Source organism: Homo sapiens, chromosome 16 (genome assembly GCF_000001405.40).
Source record: "Homo sapiens chromosome 16, GRCh38.p14 Primary Assembly".
NCBI lineage: Eukaryota > Metazoa > Chordata > Mammalia > Primates > Hominidae > Homo > Homo sapiens.
Window position 1 is genome coordinate 11,816,210 of NC_000016.10, and position 16,785 is coordinate 11,832,994.

The window sequence follows — 16,785 nt, forward strand, 5'->3', positions numbered from 1 at the left end:
TGGAGTGCAGTGGCTCAATCTCAACCTCTCAGACTCAAAGTGATCCACCCACCTCAGCTTTCCAAGTAGCTGGACCACAGGCAAGTGCTATCATGCCTGGCTGTTTTTGTTTGTTTTGTTTTGTTTTTCTTTTTTTGAGACGGAGTCTTGTTCTGTCACCCAGGCTGGAGTGCAATGGCGCGGTCTAGGTTCACTGCAGCCTCCACATCCCAGGTTCAAGCTATTTTCTTGCCTCTGCCTTCTGAGTAGCTGGGACTACAGGGACACACCGCCATGCTTTGATAATTTTTGTATTTTTAGTAGAGACAGGGTTTCACCATGTTGGCCAGGCTGGTCTGAAACTCCTGAGCGCAAGTGATCTGCCCGCCTCGGCCTCCCAAAGTGCTGGATTACAGGCGTGAGCCACAGCACCTGGCCTGTTTTTGTATTTTTTATAGAGACAGGCTTTTGCCATGTTAACCAGGCTAGTCTCGAACTCCTGAACTCAAGCAATCTACCTGCCTTGGCCTCCCAAAGTGCTGGGATTACAGGCATGAGGCACCACGCCCAGCCTCAATTCTGACAGTATCTACCTCACTGATACAGCATCAGGCCCCACAACTGAGGGCTCACTCCCACCAAGCAGCCCTCTCCCTTCCCACCAGTCACAAATCTGAGCCTCCAGAACTTCTGACTTGTTTCAACTTGGTGTTCCCACAACCCTCTCTTTGGGTTCATTTAATTGCTAATGCAGCTTAGAGAACCCAGGGAAACACATTTACTGGTTTATTATAAAGGATGTTACCGGGCAAGAGATGACGGCTCACGCCTGTAATCCCAGCACTTTGGGAGGCAAAGGCAGGCAGATTACCTGAGGTCAGGAGTTTGAGACCAGCCTGGACAACAAGGCAAAACCTTGTCTCTACTACAAATCCAAACATTAGCCTGGTGTGGGGGCTCACACCTGTAATCCCAGCTACTCAGGAGGCTGAGGCAAGAGAATCCCTTGAACCCAAGAGGCAGAGCCTGAAGTAAGCTGAGATTGCACCACTGCACTCCAGCCTGGGCTACAGAGTGAGACTCTGTCTCAAAAAACAAAACAAAACAAAACAAAAAAACGACACACACACACACACACACACACACACACAAGGATGGCATCGGCTCACACTTTGGGAGGCCAAGGCAGGTGGATCACTTGAGGTCAGGACGTCAAGACCAGCCTGGCCAACATGGTGAAACCCCTTCTCTACTAAAAATCCAAAAAGTAGCCAGGCATGGTGGTGGGCACCTGTAATCCCAGCACTTTGGGAGGCTGAGGTGGGCAGATCACTTGAGATCAGGAGTTCAAGACCAGCCTAGCTAACATGGAGAAATTCTGTCTCTATTAAAAAATACAAAAATTTTGTGTTTTTTGTATTAAATACAAAAAATACAGCCGGGCGTGATAGCACAGTAATCCCAGCTACTTGGGAGGTTGAGTCAGGACAATCACTTGAACCTAGGAAGCAGAGGTTGCAGTGAGCCGAGATTACACCACTGCACTCCAGCCTGGGCGACAGAGCAAGACTGTCTAAAAAAAATTAAAAAAAATAAAAAAGATGTTACCAAGGATACAGATGAAGAGATGCATAGGGTGAGGTGTGGGGAAAGGGGCTCAGAGCTTCCCTGACCTTCTTGGGTCAGCCACCCTCCAGGAACCTCCCCGTGTTCAGCTCTCTGGAAGTTCCCTGAACCCTGTGCTCTTAGGCACTGGATAGTTGTGACGAACAACCAGACAGAAACATGACTGGACACAAAGGCCATGATCTAACAGACGAAGTGGAGAAACAGAGCAAGGCTCCAATTCTTCATGCTTTCTGTGGCCCCTTCTTCCAGGGTATATGGCAGGATCTCCTCTGAAGTAGGGGGTATTGTGACCTGCAATCAAAGTAGGTTAGACGACATTCCTTCTTCCAGGGTATGGGGTAGACCCCTTCTGAAATGGGAGTATTGTCACCTACTGTCAGACAAGGTACGTCACCGAATTTACTTTTTTTTTTTTTTGTGGAGACGGAGTCTCGCTCTGTCGCCAGGCTGGAGTGCAGTGGTGAGATTTCTGCTCGCTGTAACCTCCTCCTCCTGGCTTCAAGCCTCAGCCTCCTGAGTAGCTGGGACTACAGGTACGCGCCACCATGCCCAGCTAATTTTTGTATTTTTAGTAGAAACGGGGTTTCATCATATTGACCAGGTTGGGTCTTGACCTCGTGATCCACCCACCTCGGCCTCCCAAAGTGCTGGGATTACAGGCGTGAGCCACTGTGCCTGGCCACAGAACTTTATAGCCAACTGCAAGAAGAAAGGTGAGAAGATTCCTGCCTTGGGGAGAAAAATGGCAGGAGAAAGACAGGTTGTTTTCCAAGACCTGATTCAGAAATCTTGGCTCACAGCATCCTCTGCATCCCAGGTTCAAGCAATTATTGCACCTCAGCCTCCCAAGTAGCTGAGACTACAGGTGCATGCCACCACGCCTGGCTAGTTTTTGTATTTTCAGTAGAGATGAGGTTTCACCATATTGCTCAGACTGGTCTTGAACTCTTGGCCTCAAGTGATCCAGCCACCTCAACCTCCCAAAATGCTGGGATTACAGGCATGAGTCACCGCACTCGGCCGACTTGGATTTTTTTTTTTTTTTTGAGACGGAGTCTCAATCTGTCGCCCAGGCTGGAGTGCAGTGGCGTGATCTTGGCTCACTGCAAGCTCTGCCTCCCAGGTTCAGGCCATTCTCCTGCCTCAGCCTCCAGAGTAGCTGGGACTACAGGCGCCTGCAACCACACCTGGCTAATTTTTTGTATTTTTAGCAGAGACAGGGTTTCACTGTGTTAGCCAGGATGGTCTCGATCTCCTGCCCTCGTGATCTGTCTGCCACGGCCTCCCAAAGTGCTGGGATTACGGCGTGAGCCACCGCGCCCGGCAACGACATGTAATTTTTTGTTGAGTGGGAGGGGAAGACAGTCTCATTGTGTCATCCAGGCTGGAGTGCAGTGGCACAACCTCGGCTCACTGCAACCTCCGCCTCCTGGGCTCAAGCGATTCTCTTGCCTGAGCCTCCCAAGTAGCTGGAACTATAGACATCCACCACTATGCCCAGGCTAATTTTTGTATTTTGTTTTTTTTAGAGACAGGATTTCACCATGTTGCCCATACTGGCTTCAAACTCCTGGGCTCAAGCGATCCACCCACCTTGGCCTCCCACAGTGCTGGGATTACAGGTGAGTGACACTGTGCCCGGCCAGATGGCATGAATTTGACAGGCATCGTTATGACCTGAAGGTCCTTCTGTAGACAGAATCTTATGTTTTAGGGAATAAGAACATTATAAAATTAGAAGGGTTTTTTTTTTGAGACAGTCTCACCCTGTCGCCCAGGCTGGAGTGCAGTGGCACAATCTCGGCTCACTGCAACCTCCGCCTCCCAGGTTCAAGCGATTCTCCTGCCTCAGCCTCCAGAGTAGCTGGAATTACAGGCGGCTGCCACCACACCTGGCTAATTTTTCCATTTTTAGTAGAGACGGGGTTTCACCATGTTGGCCAGGCTGGTCTCGAACTCCTGACCTTGTGATCCACCCACCTTGGCCTCCCAAACTGCTGGGATTACAAGAGTTTTTTTAAAAGCCAGATTTTATTTCTATTTAAAAACAATGCTCAGGAGACTTAGTTCCAAAGACGAAGATGCCAGGGTTCAATGTACAACTACAGCGAGGTGCTAGCGATTATTGAGTGAGTCATGGAAGGCTCTGTAGTTCCTTGGAGACTTCCGCTTTTTCGTATCACTCCTAGTCTTAGCCTCGTGGTTTTCTGCAAGTTCTCGTCGACTGTAACCGTACACAGGGCTGTCACTCCAGTGAGGACAACAAAAAAAGCACCTATGGCTATCATTGTTAATCCAGTAGAGAAAACCACAGAGTCAGAGGGGTCCTGTAGAACAACAATGAGTCCCAGAATCACAGTCGATAACCCTAAGCAGGTGACAAGCAGACATTCAGAGCAAGACAAGCATCGGAACTCCCGTCTTCTGGATAGATTCATCCATGGATAAGTTTGGATAGGTTGGTACATGGTGATTTTTTGCTGCAGTGGTTAAGGGAAGAAAAAGTCTATGAAAGCTCAAATACAAAAAGTGTAAATAGAATCTTTTCTTCTTTTCTGTGAATTGCATCTACTATGCATTCTTTTTCTTTTTCTTTTTTTTTTAAGATGGAGTCTCACTCTGTTGCCAGGCTGGAGTGCGGTGGCGCGATCTTGGCTCACTTCAAGCTCTGCCTCCCGGGTTCAAATGATGCTCCCGCCTCAGACTCCCTAGTAGCTGGGACTACAGGCGTGCGCCACCACACCCAGCTAATTGTTGTATTTTTAGTAGAGACGGGGTTTCACCATGTTGACCAGGATGGTCTCAATCTCTTGACCTCATGATCTGCCTGCCTCGGCCTCCCAAAGTGCTGGGAGTACAGGCATGAGCCACCGTGCCCGGCCCTTTTTCTTTTTTTTTTTAAATGAGACAGAGTCTCACTCTGTCGCCCAGGCTGGAGTGCAGTGGTGCGATCTTATCTCACTGCAACCTCCACCTCCCGGGTTCAAGCAGTTCGCCTGCCTCAGCCTCCCGAGTAGCTGGGATTACAGGTGCCCGCCACCATGGCTGGCTAATTTTCGTATTTTTAATAGAGACGGGGTTTCATCACGTTGGCCAGGCTGGTCTCGAACTCCTCACCTCAAGTGATATGCCCACCTTGGCCTCCCCAAATGCTGGGTTTACAGACATAAGCACCACCTTGGGCCTACTATGCATTTTCAGTCAGAACTCCCTTCACCCTGTCTCATATCCTGAGGGTAATTTAAAGGGCTGGCCTCTAAGAGGCACCCAAATTCCCCTCTGAGGAGACTCTCAGGAGGTCAGAGTTCTTAATGGTTTAAAATACATCTTTTGGCTGGGTGCGGTGGCTCACTCACAAAAATGCTGGTAATCCCAACATTTTTGGAGGCCAAGATGGGAGGACTGCTTCAGCTTGGAAGTTCAAGACCAGCTTGGGCAACATAGTGAGAACCTGCCTCTACTAAAAATTTTAAGAAAATAGCCGGGCACAGTGGCTCACGTCTGTAATCCCAGCACTTTGGGAGGCCGAGGAGGGCAGATCACAAGGTCAGGAGATCGAGACCATCCTGGCTAACGTGGTGAAACTCCATCTCTACTAAAAATACATAAAAATTAGCCAAGCATGGTAGCGGGCGCCTTTAGTCCCAGCTACTTGGGAGGCTGAGGCAGGAGAATGGCGTGAACCTGGGAGACGGAGCTTGCAGTGAGCCGAGATTGCACCACTGCACTCCAGCCTGGGCGACAGAGCGATATTCCGTCTCAAAAAAAATAATAATAAAAAATAAAAATAAAAAATTTATCCAGTTCTGGTAGTACATGCCTGTAGTCCCAGATACTTGGGAAGCTGAAGCAGGAGAATCACTTGAACCCAGGAGATGGAGGCCGCAGTGAGCTATGATTACGCCATTGTATTCCAGCCAGAGTGACAGGACAAGACCCTGTTTCAAATTTTTTAAAAAAGGAAATAAAAAGATACATCTTTACAGTGTGAAAAGAAAACAAAATCTCAGCCCCAAACTCACTATGCCTAGGGGAAAAGTTAAGCTTGGAAATCGAGTCACACACAACAAAATCTGCCTTTCGTTTTGTTCCTAAACAGATAGCTATAAGATAGAAGGCCACACGCCTCACAACGGGGACTTTCTTACCCTGACAATGTAAATTAATAGCTTATCTTCATAGGTAGGAGACAAGAAGAGACTATAAATTGCTGACCCACCCACGCTGAGACCCATGCGTATTTGATTTTTTTTTTTTTTTTTTTTGAGACGGAGTTTCGCTCTTTTTGCCCAGGCCGGAGTGCAATGGTGCAATCTCGGCTCACCGCGACCTCTGCCTCCCGGGTTCAAGCATTTCTCCTGGCTCAGCCTCCCAAGTAGCTGGGATTACAGGCGCCTGCCACCCCGTCTGGCGAATTTTTTGTATTTTTAGTAGAGACAGGTTTCACCACGTTGGCCTGGATTGTCTCGATCTCCTGACCTCGTGATCCACCCGCCTCGGCCTCCCAAAGTGCTGGGATTACAGGCGTGAGCCACTGCACCCGGCCGCATATTTGATTTCTATGTTTATCTACAGGTCAAGTACAGATTGCCCAAGTTCAAGAGAAAGACTTGATTGTTCTTCCTCTCTTTCCTTTTCACATGCAACACGTGGATTGAGTGAGTGCTGAAAGCCTCATTACAATGCTACCCTATCCTTCTCCATTTTTTCTTTTCACCTCTCCCCTCCTGCCCACTTTTTCCCTTTAAATATTGAAGCCCTTTAAATCCTCTTTGGAAAAAGTGCTGACTCCAGATCCTCTTGTGGCTTCTGTCTATTTCCTGGGCATGTCCTCAATGTTAGCTAAAATAAACCTCTACAGTGATTGAGACCTTCTGAGACTTCTGGTTTACAAGTGAAATTTCATGAAGCTATCTCAAGACATCCAAAAAGACTGCTTCTGAAAATGAATCCTCACGCTTGGGAGGCCGAGGCAGGTGGATCGCTTGAGCCCAGGAGTTCAAGACTAGCCTGGGGAACGTGGCAAAACCCTGTCTCTACAAAAAATAAATAAATAAATTAAATAAAATACAAAAAATTAGCCACGCATGGTGGCACGTGCCTGTAGTACCAGATACCCTGGGAGCTGAGGCTTCAGTAAGCCTTGATTGTGCCACTGCACTCCAGCCTGGGAGATAGAAAGGCCCCATCTCAATTCTAAAAAAAGAAGGCTGGGCACAGTGGCTCATGCCTGTAATCCCAGCACTTTGGGAGGCCAAGGCAAGTGGATTCCCTGAGGTCAGGGGTTCCAGACCAGTCTGGCCAACGTGATGAAACCCTGTCTCTACAAAAAATACTAAAATTAGCTGGGTGTGGTAGCAGAAGCCTGTAATCCCAGCTACTCAGGAGGCTGAGGCAGGAGAATCACTTCAACCCGGGAGGCAGAGATTGCAGTGAGCCAAGATCGCACCATTGCACTCCAGCCTGGGTGACAAGAATGAGACTTCGTCTCAAAAAAAAAATAAAAATAATAAAAAGAAGAAAATGGCTGGGTGCAGTGGCTCATGCCTGTAATCCCAGCACTTTGGGAGGCCAAGACAGGTGGATCACCTGAGGTCGGGAGTTCAAGACCAGCCTGACCAACATTGAGAAACCCCATTTCTACTAAAAATACAAAATTAGCTGGGCGTGGCGGCACATGCCTGTAATCCCAGCTACTTGGGAGGCTGAGGCAGGAGAATCGCTTGAACCCGGGAGGCAGAGGTTGTGGTGAGCCAAGATTGCACCATTGTACTCCAGCTTGGGCAACAAGAGCAAAACTCTGTCTCAAAAACAGAAGAAGAAGAAGAAACTGAAGTACAAGGCCAAAGGTACTTGAAGTAGGCTTAACTTCTTCCTGAAGCACCATTACTATTTGATGGTAAATCTATGTTTTTATACTTTAGGTACAAGTGATGAAATTCAAGGCCAGGCATAGTGACTCATGCTTGCAACCCCAGCACTTTGGGAGGCCGAGGCAGGAGGATCACTTGAGGTCAGGAGTTTGAGACCAGCTTGGCCAACATGGTGAAATCCATTCTCTACTAAAAATACAAAAATTAGGCCAGGTGCATTGGCTCACGCCTGTCATCTCAGCCCTTTGGGAGGCTGAGGCGGGCAGATTACTTGAGGTCAGGAGTTTGAGACCAGCCTGGCCAACATAGTGAAACCCCGTCGCTACTAAAAATATAAAAATTAGCTGGGTGTGGTGGCGCACACCTGTAATCCCAGCTACTCAGGAGGCGGAGGCAGCAAAATCACTTGAACCCAGGAAGCGGAGGTTGCAGTGAGCCAAGATCACGCCATTGCACTCCAGCCTGGGTGACAGAGTGAGACTCCATCTCAAAAAAACAAACAACAACAACAACAAAAACAAAAATTAGCCAGGCATGATGGCCCACATCTGTAGTTGCAGCTACTCAGAAGGCTTGAGGCAGGACAATCTCTTGAACCCCAGAGGCAGAGGTTGCAGTGAGCTGAGATCACACCACTGCACTCCAGCCTGGGCAACATGGCAAGACTCTATCTCAAAAAAAAAAAAATCCCGAAGAAGCAAACAAAAACAAGTGACAAGTGATGAAATCCAAGGTCAAAGATTAAGAACATTGACTTGAAGGAGAGGGGACAGTCACGAGAAGGAAATGTATTTTCTTTTCCACCAGCATGAGGACCCAGTAGGTACAAAGTTTACCAAGGGAGAAGCTTGGGTGGGGATAGTGATTGCCAAACGCTCCCCGCAGCTGTGGTTGCTCTTGCCTTGGGGACAGTTCACTCAAGGTCACTGGTTATTAGAGAACATCAATTGTGGATTGCAGAACTCCATAGCCACCAACATAACTCAAGTCCCGGTTGGGCTTTTCACTGAGAAATGGTTGTGTGGCATTTTATCAACACATCACAGGCCCTGTGGAAAAAGGCTTGGCTTCTAATTAATTGGATTAATAGCCAACTTCCAAATCAATTGTTTTTCTTAATGCACTGGCAAAAGTCATTTACGGAGTGAAAACCTGAGAACATCTACTATTCAATCATCTTTCCTGAAGAGATAAGTGGTAAGAGTAACTCTGCCCAACATAGTATGAAGTCTTAGGTTTTTCAAGCAGTAAATGAATACTGAATGAAAGCTAAGCATAAAGATAATACATTAATGGCCGGGCGTGGTGGCTCATGCCTGTAATCCCAGCACTTTGGGAGGCCGAGGTGGGCGGATCACCTGAGGCGAGGAGTTCGAGACCATCCTGTCCAACATGGTGAAACCCCATTTCTACTAAAAATACAAAAATAAAAATAGCCAGGCATGGTGGCGCATGCCTGTAATCCCAGCTACTCAGGAGGCTGAGGCAGGAGAATCGCTTGAACACTGGAGGCAGAAGTTACAGTGAGCCGAGATCACACCGCTGCATTCCAGCTTGGGCAACAAGAGTAAAACTCTGTCTCAAAAAAAATAAAATAATACTACATTAATATAAAATCATGTGGACAACTGGAGTGAAAAAAAATTCAAAGAGAAAAAATGGTAAAACCTTGCTTTTTTTCTTTTTTTTTGGGACGGAGTCTCACTCTGTCGCCAGTCTGGAGTGCAGTGGTGTGATCTCAGCTCACTGCAATCTCTACCTCCTGGGTTCAAGTGATTCTCCTGCCTCAACCTCCCGAGTAGCTGGGACTACAGGCATGTGCCACCACGCCTGGGTAACTTTTGTATTTTTAATAGAGACAGGGTTTCACCATGTTGGCCAGGATGGTCTTGATCTCTTGACCTCGTGATCTGCCCGCCTCGGCCTTCCAAAGTGCTGAGATTTCAGGCGTGAGCCACCGCGCCCAACCGGTTTTTTTGTTTTGTTTTGTTTTTGAGACAGGGTCTTGCTCTGTTCCCCAGGCTGGAGTGCAGTGGCGCAATGTCAGCTCACTGCAACTGCTGCCTCCCAGACTCAAGTGATCCTCCCACCTCAGCCTCCCACGTAGCTGGGACTACAGGCGCCTGCCACCACCCATGGCTTATTTTTTTTGTATGTTTTTGTAGAGACGGGGTTTCACCTTGTTGCCCAAGCTGGTCTCAAACTTCTAGGGTCAGGCAATCCTCCTGCCTCGGCCTCCTAAACTGCTGGGATTACAGGTGTGAGCCACCACATGTGGCCCAGGTGTTTTCTTTAAGTGGGTGATGGTGACGATCAACTCCCTTAGGTATTTAGAGTCCAACAGATGTATTTGAGAATGGAATAGTTTTAGTTTCAAAGATCACTATTTACACAATGGCAAGTAATTATGTCTTTGCAACTGTATACACTAAACATTTTAGGTGTCAGGTTAAATACTAGGTGGAACAGAATTTGTCACAAAATTTTACAGTATGTAGGAACAAAAAAAACACTAATGAAAACAATGACAAATATTGGCCTTTTAGGTTTGAACTCACCGTTAATGGCACCATTTTATTAATTTGCCATTTCATATGATGTTTTAACCCTAAATTGCTGGTAAGTTTTGTAGCTGAATTTTCTTAGCATTTCTGGCTAACTATGCTGTGTTCTTTAGTTTACTAACAATTTTTGTTTCTGATTCCCTAATGTTTAGCCATCCTTACATTCCTCAGATAAGCTCTCCTAAGCTGTTATTATCCTGGTTAAGCAGTATGTGGTATCTTACATTTATCTTAAGACCAGGTGATAGGAGTTTTTCTGGCGAAGAAAACTACTAGGTTTGAGTACCGAAAAAATTACTTTCGCAGAATGAATTGGGAATCTTTGAATTATAATGGCAACAACTCAAGATTTGTATGCATGATATTATTTTATTTTTCGAGATAGGATCTTGCTTGCTCTGTTATCCAGGCTGGCAGTGCATTGGCGTGGTCTCGGCCCACTGCAACCTCCGCCTTCCACACTCAAGTGATCCTCCTCCCTCAGCCTCCAGAGTGACTGAGACTAAGCCACCTTGCCCAGCTAATTTTTGTATTTTTAGTACACACGGGGTTTGCCACGTTACCCAGGCTGGTCTGAGCTCAGGGGATCCACCCACATCAGCCGTCCAAAGTGCTAGGACTATAGATGTGAGCCAGCGCACCTGGCCCACAATATTAAGTGAAATCTCACTGTCTTTTCTCTTCCAGTTTTTAGGTTTTTGTCTCTTCATTCAGTTTTGGGAACTTATTAGTTCCCATTATCTAGACTTAAGAATGTTGTATGGGCCGGGCGCGGTGGCTCACGCCTGTAATCCCAGCACTTTGGGAGGCTGAGGCGGGCGGATCACGAGGTCAGGAGATCGAGACCATCCTGGCTAACACGGTGAAACTCCGTCTCTAGTAAAAATACAAAAAAATTAGCCTGGGGTGGTGGCGGGCGCCTGTAATCCCAGCTAGTCGGGAGGCTGAGGCAGGAGAATGGCGTGAACCCGGGAGGCGGAGCTTGCAGTGAGCTGAGATCGCGCCACTGCACTCCAGCCTGGGCGACAGAGTGAGACTCCGTCTCAAAAAAAAAAAAAAAGAGAATGTTGGTATGAAATAGGAATAATTCTCTTTGATTTTTTTTAGCTTATCTTTCCTGCCTAGGTTATTAAATAGCAAATGTTTGTTTTTTCCCCCTGCTTTGCAGGGGCGTATTGATCTGCCACCTTTTTCAAGAACCAGTTTAGGGCCAGGCACAGTAGCTTACACCTATAACCCCCGCATTTTGGGAGGCCGAGGCGGGCGGATCACAAGGTCAGGAGATCGAGACCATCCTGGCTAACAGGGTGAAACCCCGTCTCTACTAAAAATACAAAAAATTAGCTGGGCGTGGTGGCAGGCACCTGTAGTCCCAGCTACTCGGGAGGCTGAGGCAGGAGAATGGCGTGAACCCGGGAGGCGGAGCTTGCAGTGAGCCGAGATCCTACCACTGCACTCCAGCCTGGGCGACAGAGTGAGACTCTGTCTCAAAAAAAAAAAAAAAAAAAAAAGAGATCAGCCTGGGCAACTTAGTGAGACCCCTGTCTCTACTAAAAGTCTAAAAATTTTTTAAAAGCCAAGCACAATAGCTCACGTCTGTAATGCTAACACTTTGGGAGGCCAAGGAGGGTAGATCACTTGAGGTCAAGAGTTCAAAACCAGGCTGGCCAACATGGTGAAATCCCGTCTCCAATAAAAATACAAAAATTAGCAGAGCATGGTGGCACATGCCTGTAATCCCAGCTACTCAGGAGGCAGTCAGCTGAGATTATGCCACTGCACTTCAGCCTGAGCAACAGAGACCCTGTCTCAAAAAAAAAAAAAAAAAGAAAAAGAAAATAAAAAGAAAGAAAAAAAGAGAAATCCAACAGCCTAACAGAAAAATAGTCAAGGGAGATCAACAAGAGACTAGATCTCTGAAGAAATATAAATCATAACTTAATATAAAAAAAATATACAGCCCGACTAACAATATTCATATTTAAGTCAGTCTTTTAAGTGACTTTCAAACACACTTAACAAAAAGCAAGCTAAAAGTTTTATAAAAGAAATGATAGCTTCTCTCACCTGGTACAGCAGGCAACTTTTTAGTCAAAATAAGGTCAGGAATAGTTTCCCCAAAACAGCCAGACACCCTCTGTCAAGACAAACCGTCCTTAGATAAAAAGATGAGCAACAAGCTGCTGTGTTTCTTTTATACGAATTAGGCTCTTGATTGGATAATTGAAATAACACGGATTCTCACAAGCAGAAATTTTCACACATCAGGTTAGATTGTTTTCTTAATTCATCCAATAATGTAATACCTCAGTTCTATAAACGTTGAAGAAATTCACTTCTCACAAGGAGAGACTGGGGGCAAATGCATATAGCAGTTCACTTGAATGTCCCCACATAAAAAAAAATAATAATAACAACAACAAGAAATAAAAGATCTGTTTTACCCTGGTTGGCTTTCAGTTGACCATTTCATTTGGTTCACCTGCTGAGAATTCGGTAACGATGTTACTGTGAGGCAGGACGACAGGACGACTTCTAGCCACTGTATCCTTCTTAGCACTGTTTCCCAGCACTAACTGAGCAGAAGAATCACCTGGCCTCTTGGTCAAAACACAGATTCCTAAGTCCCGCATGTATACAGTAATTCCAGTTAAGCAGGTCTGCAGCAGGACCAGGAGTGTGCATTTTTCAGAAATACCACCTGCCCCCACCAGAAATCTTTAAATATTTTTATCATGCTCTCAATAATAGACATTTCAGAGGGATGAGTTGAAGGAGGGCTGGCATTTGTTCACTACAAAATCATATCATTGAAGGAATCTTGGAAAATATAGACCAGAAGGAAACAAAGGGAGAAAAATAAGCACAGGAGCCGGGCGCGGTGGCTCACGCCTGTAATCCCAGCACTTCGGGAGGCCGAGGCGGGTGGATCACAAGGTCAGGAGATCGAGACCATCCTGGCTAACACGGTGAAACCCCAGCTCTACTAAAAATACAAAAAATTATCCGGTCATGGTGGTGGGCGCCTGTAGTCCCAGCTACTCGGGAGGCTGAGGCAGGCGAATGGCGTGAACCCAGGAGGCGGAGCTTGCAGAGAGCTGAGAGCTGAGATCGCGCCACTGCACTCCAGCCTGGGCGACCAAGCGAGACTCTGTTTCAAAAAAAAAAAAAAAAAGAAAGAAAGAAAAGAAAAATAAGCACAGGAAAAAATACTGTAAAAAAATCAAGATATTAAATATTAACTGTGCTTATGCTTGGAAGTGGAACTATATGTATTATTATTATTTACAGGTTTTATTTACAGACTAAAGGGTGCAGAAGGCATGAAAATATTTTGTGATACTAATCCCATTTTGGAGAGAAAAAATAAGCACTGGCCAGGCACAGTAGCTCATGCCTATAATCCCAGCACTTTGGCAGGCTGAGGTGGGAGGATCACTAGAGGCCAGGAGTTCAAACTGGACAACATAATGAGATACTTTTTTTTTTTTTTTTTTTTTACATGGAATCTCCCTCTATCGCCCAGGCTGGAGTGCAGTGGCACCTTCTCGGCTCACTGCAACCTCCGCCTCCTGGGTTCAAGCGATTCTCGTCTCAGGCTCCCAAAATAGCTGGGGCTACAAGTGTGCACCACCACGCCCAGCTAATTTTTTTTTTTTTTTTTTTGAGACAGAGTTTCGCTCTTGTTGCCCGAGATGGAGTGCAATGGCGTGATCTTGGCTCACCGCAACCTCCGCCTCCCAGGTTCAAGCAATTCTCCTGCCTCAGCCTCCCAAGTAGCTGAGATTAGAGGCATGCATCACCACATCCGGCTTATTTTGTATTTTTAGTAGAGACAGGGTTTCTCCGTGTTGGTCAGGCTGGTCGCGAACTCCTGACGTCAGTTGATTTGCCTGCCTTGGCCTCCCAAAGTGCTGGGATTACAGGCGTGAGCCACCACGCCCGGCTAATCAGGCTGAGTCTCGAACTCCTGACCTCAGGTGATCTCCCCACTTCTGCCTCCCTAAGTACTGGCATTACAGGCGTCAGCCACCACGTCCAGCCACTTTCTTTCATTTCTGTTTCTGAGGTCCATTGCTCCATTCAGTAGAAAAGGGGTGGCTTGGAGAGGATTTGCCAACCTTCCCATGATTTCCATCACCACATCCCCCAAAATGCACAACCTAAGTTTAAAAGCATAGCAACTGGTCAGGTGTGGTGGTTTACGCCTGTAATCCCAGCACTGTGGGAGGCTGAGGCAGGCGGATCGCCTGAGGTCAGGAGTTCTAGACAAGCCTGGCCAACATGGTGAAACCCCGTCTCTACTAAAAATATAAAAATTAGCCGGGCGTGGTAGTGTGCACCTATAATCCCAGCTACTCAGGAGGCTGAGGCATGAGAATTGCTTGAACCCAGGAGGCGGAGGTTGCAGTGAGCTGAGATCTCACCATTGTACTCCAGCATGGTTGACAAGAGCAAGACTCCGTCTCAAAAAAAAAAAAATAGAAAAAGAAAAAAGAAAATGACCCAGCTGAGTTATATAAGCAGGTGATACTAATCTTTTATTTATTTTTCTTTCCTTTTTTTTTTTCAGATGGAGTCTGGCTCTGTCACCCAGGCTGGAGTGCAGTGGCACGATCTCGGCTCACTGCAACCTCCGCCTCCTGTGTTCAAGCAATTCTTCTGCCTCAGCCTCCTGAGTAGCTGGGACAACAGGCGCGTGCCACCACACCTGGCTAATTTTTGTGTTTTTATGGGGTTTCACCATATTGGCCACGATGGTCTCGAACTCCTGACCTCGTGATCCACCTGCCTTGGCCTCCCAAAGTGCTGGGATTACAGGTGTGAGCCACCGCGCCCAGCCGATACTAATCATTTTAAGTGCTGGACTGCAGTGTTATAATCTGGGGTTAAGTAGAGCCACCTAAATAATTTGCCATTTTTTCTCTCCAGGACCACTATACTGAAATGATCCCTATAACCAAAATTTTATTCATGGTCTTCGATCAGTTGCACTAATTTCCTTAGGATCCAAGGATTGATGAAGGTTTCTCGTGGCTCATAAAGTCCAAATTGGGAATCTTGGTATTTGAATATTAATACTATCTGTAGGCAAGAAAAATCGTAACAATTTCAGAAAAAAAAATGTAGGGAGTGCAGAACTTTCAAATATTTAACTAAATGGCAAGAATTCTTTGCTCTTAAACACCCATATATGGAAAATAGAGCAAGGGTTTTTTGGCCAGGTGTTACGAATAGGATGACACTTAGCAACTTCTTGGTACCCTCATTTTCGTATTTTCAAGGAGACTGAAATACAATGTGATCCTTTCTTTTTTTTTTCTTTTCTTTTTTTTTTTTTTTTTTTGAGACGGAGTCTCACTCTGTCGCCCAGCCCAGGCTGGAGTGCAGTGGCGCGATCTCGGCTCACTGCAACCTCTGCCTTCTGGGTTCAAGCGATTCTCCTGCGTCAGCCTCTCAAGTAGCTGGGATTACAGGCACACACCACTATGCCTGGCAAATTTTTGTATTTTTAGTAGAGATGGGGTTTCACCATATTAGTCAGGCTGATCTCGAACTCCTGACCTCAAGTGATCTGCCCACCTTGGCCTCTCAAAGTGCTGGGAGTACAGGGGTGACCCACTGTGACTGATCACCCGGCCAGTATTTTAGTTATTTGTAGAGACAAGGGCCGGCTATGTTGCCTAGGCTGTTCCCAAACTTTTGTGCTCAAGTGATCTTCCTGCCTCGAGTTCCCGAAGTGTGGGGATTACAGGCATAAGCCACCATGCCCAGCAGGAGCTCTTAAGGTCTGCTTGAATGGTCCTTGTTTTGCTGGGTACAGTTAGTTACATTTTATCATTTTTTTTTTTTTTGAGATGGAGTCTTGCTGTGTTGTCCAGGCTGCCGTTCAGTGGTGCGATCTTGGCTCACTGCAACCTCCGCCTCCCAGACACAAGCGATTCTCCTGCCTCAGCCTCCTGAGTAGCTGGGACTACAGGCGTGCACAACCAGGCCTGGCTAATTCTTGTGTTTTCAGTAGACATGGGGTTTCGCCATGTTGGCCAGGCTGGTCTCGAACTCCTCATCTCCCCACCTCTGCCTCCCTAAATATTGGGATTACAGGCGTCAGCCACCACTTCCAGCCACGTTCTTTCATTTCTGTTTCTGAGGCCCATTGCTCCATTCAGTAGAAAAGGGGCGGCTTGTAGGAGATTTGCCAGCCTTCCCATTATTTCCATCACCACGTCCCCCAAAATGCACAATCTAAGTTTAAAAGTGTAGCAACTGGTCAGATGTTGTGGCTCACGCCTGTAATCCCAGCACTATGGGAGGCTGAGGCGGGCGGATCGCCTGAGGTCAGAAGTTCTAGACAAGTCTGACTAACATGGTGAAACCCCGTCTCTACTAAAAATACAAAAATTAGCCGGGCGTGGTGGTGTGCGCCTGTAATCCCAACTACTCAGGAGGCTGAGGAACGAGAATCGCTTCAACCCAGGAGGCGGAGGTTGCAGTGAGCTGAGATTGCACCATTGTACTCCAGCCTGGGTGACAAGAGCAAGACTCCATCTCAAAAAAAAAAAAAAAAGAAAAGAAAAGAAAAAAAAGAAAATAAGAAAATGACCCAGCAGAGTTATATAACAGGAGATATTAATCATTTTAAGTGTTGGACTGCTATGTTATAATCTGGGGTTAAGTAGAACCACCTAAATAATTTGCCATTTTTTCTCTCCAGGACCACTATCCTGAAATAATAATCC

The 16,785-nt window shown here is 46.6% G+C and overlaps 1 long non-coding RNA gene across 5 annotated transcripts, besides 2 other annotated features; it reads right to left on the reverse strand.

Annotated features, from left to right (window-relative positions):
- Window positions 1-3,620: 3,620 nt before the first annotated feature.
- BCAR4 (breast cancer anti-estrogen resistance 4) lies at window positions 3,621-12,623 on the reverse strand. 5 transcript variants are annotated; one of them, NR_024049.1, is made up of 4 exons: window positions 12,113-12,623; window positions 8,318-8,530; window positions 5,425-5,546; window positions 3,621-4,088 (listed from the first exon to the last, which is right to left on the reverse strand). It is a non-coding gene; the product is annotated as a breast cancer anti-estrogen resistance 4 (long non-coding RNA). The 5 variants fall into 5 exon arrangements; NR_131222.1 differs by lacking the exon at window positions 8,318-8,530 and having other exon boundaries at window positions 5,429-5,546; window positions 12,490-12,623; NR_024050.1 differs by lacking the exons at window positions 5,425-5,546; window positions 8,318-8,530 and having other exon boundaries at window positions 12,113-12,182; window positions 12,490-12,623.
- Window positions 5,438-5,938: an enhancer, noted in NCBI's record as "H3K4me1 hESC enhancer chr16:11915504-11916004 (GRCh37/hg19 assembly coordinates)". NCBI's record gives its function as "activates a minimal SCP1, AML or CMV promoter by ChIP-STARR-seq in primed H9 embryonic stem cells {active_cell/tissue: H9 hESC(primed)}" and the evidence as "EXISTENCE:reporter gene assay evidence [ECO:0000049][PMID:30033119]".
- Window positions 5,939-6,439: an enhancer, noted in NCBI's record as "H3K4me1 hESC enhancer chr16:11916005-11916505 (GRCh37/hg19 assembly coordinates)". NCBI's record gives its function as "activates a minimal SCP1, AML or CMV promoter by ChIP-STARR-seq in primed H9 embryonic stem cells {active_cell/tissue: H9 hESC(primed)}" and the evidence as "EXISTENCE:reporter gene assay evidence [ECO:0000049][PMID:30033119]".
- Window positions 12,624-16,785: the final 4,162 nt, after the last annotated feature.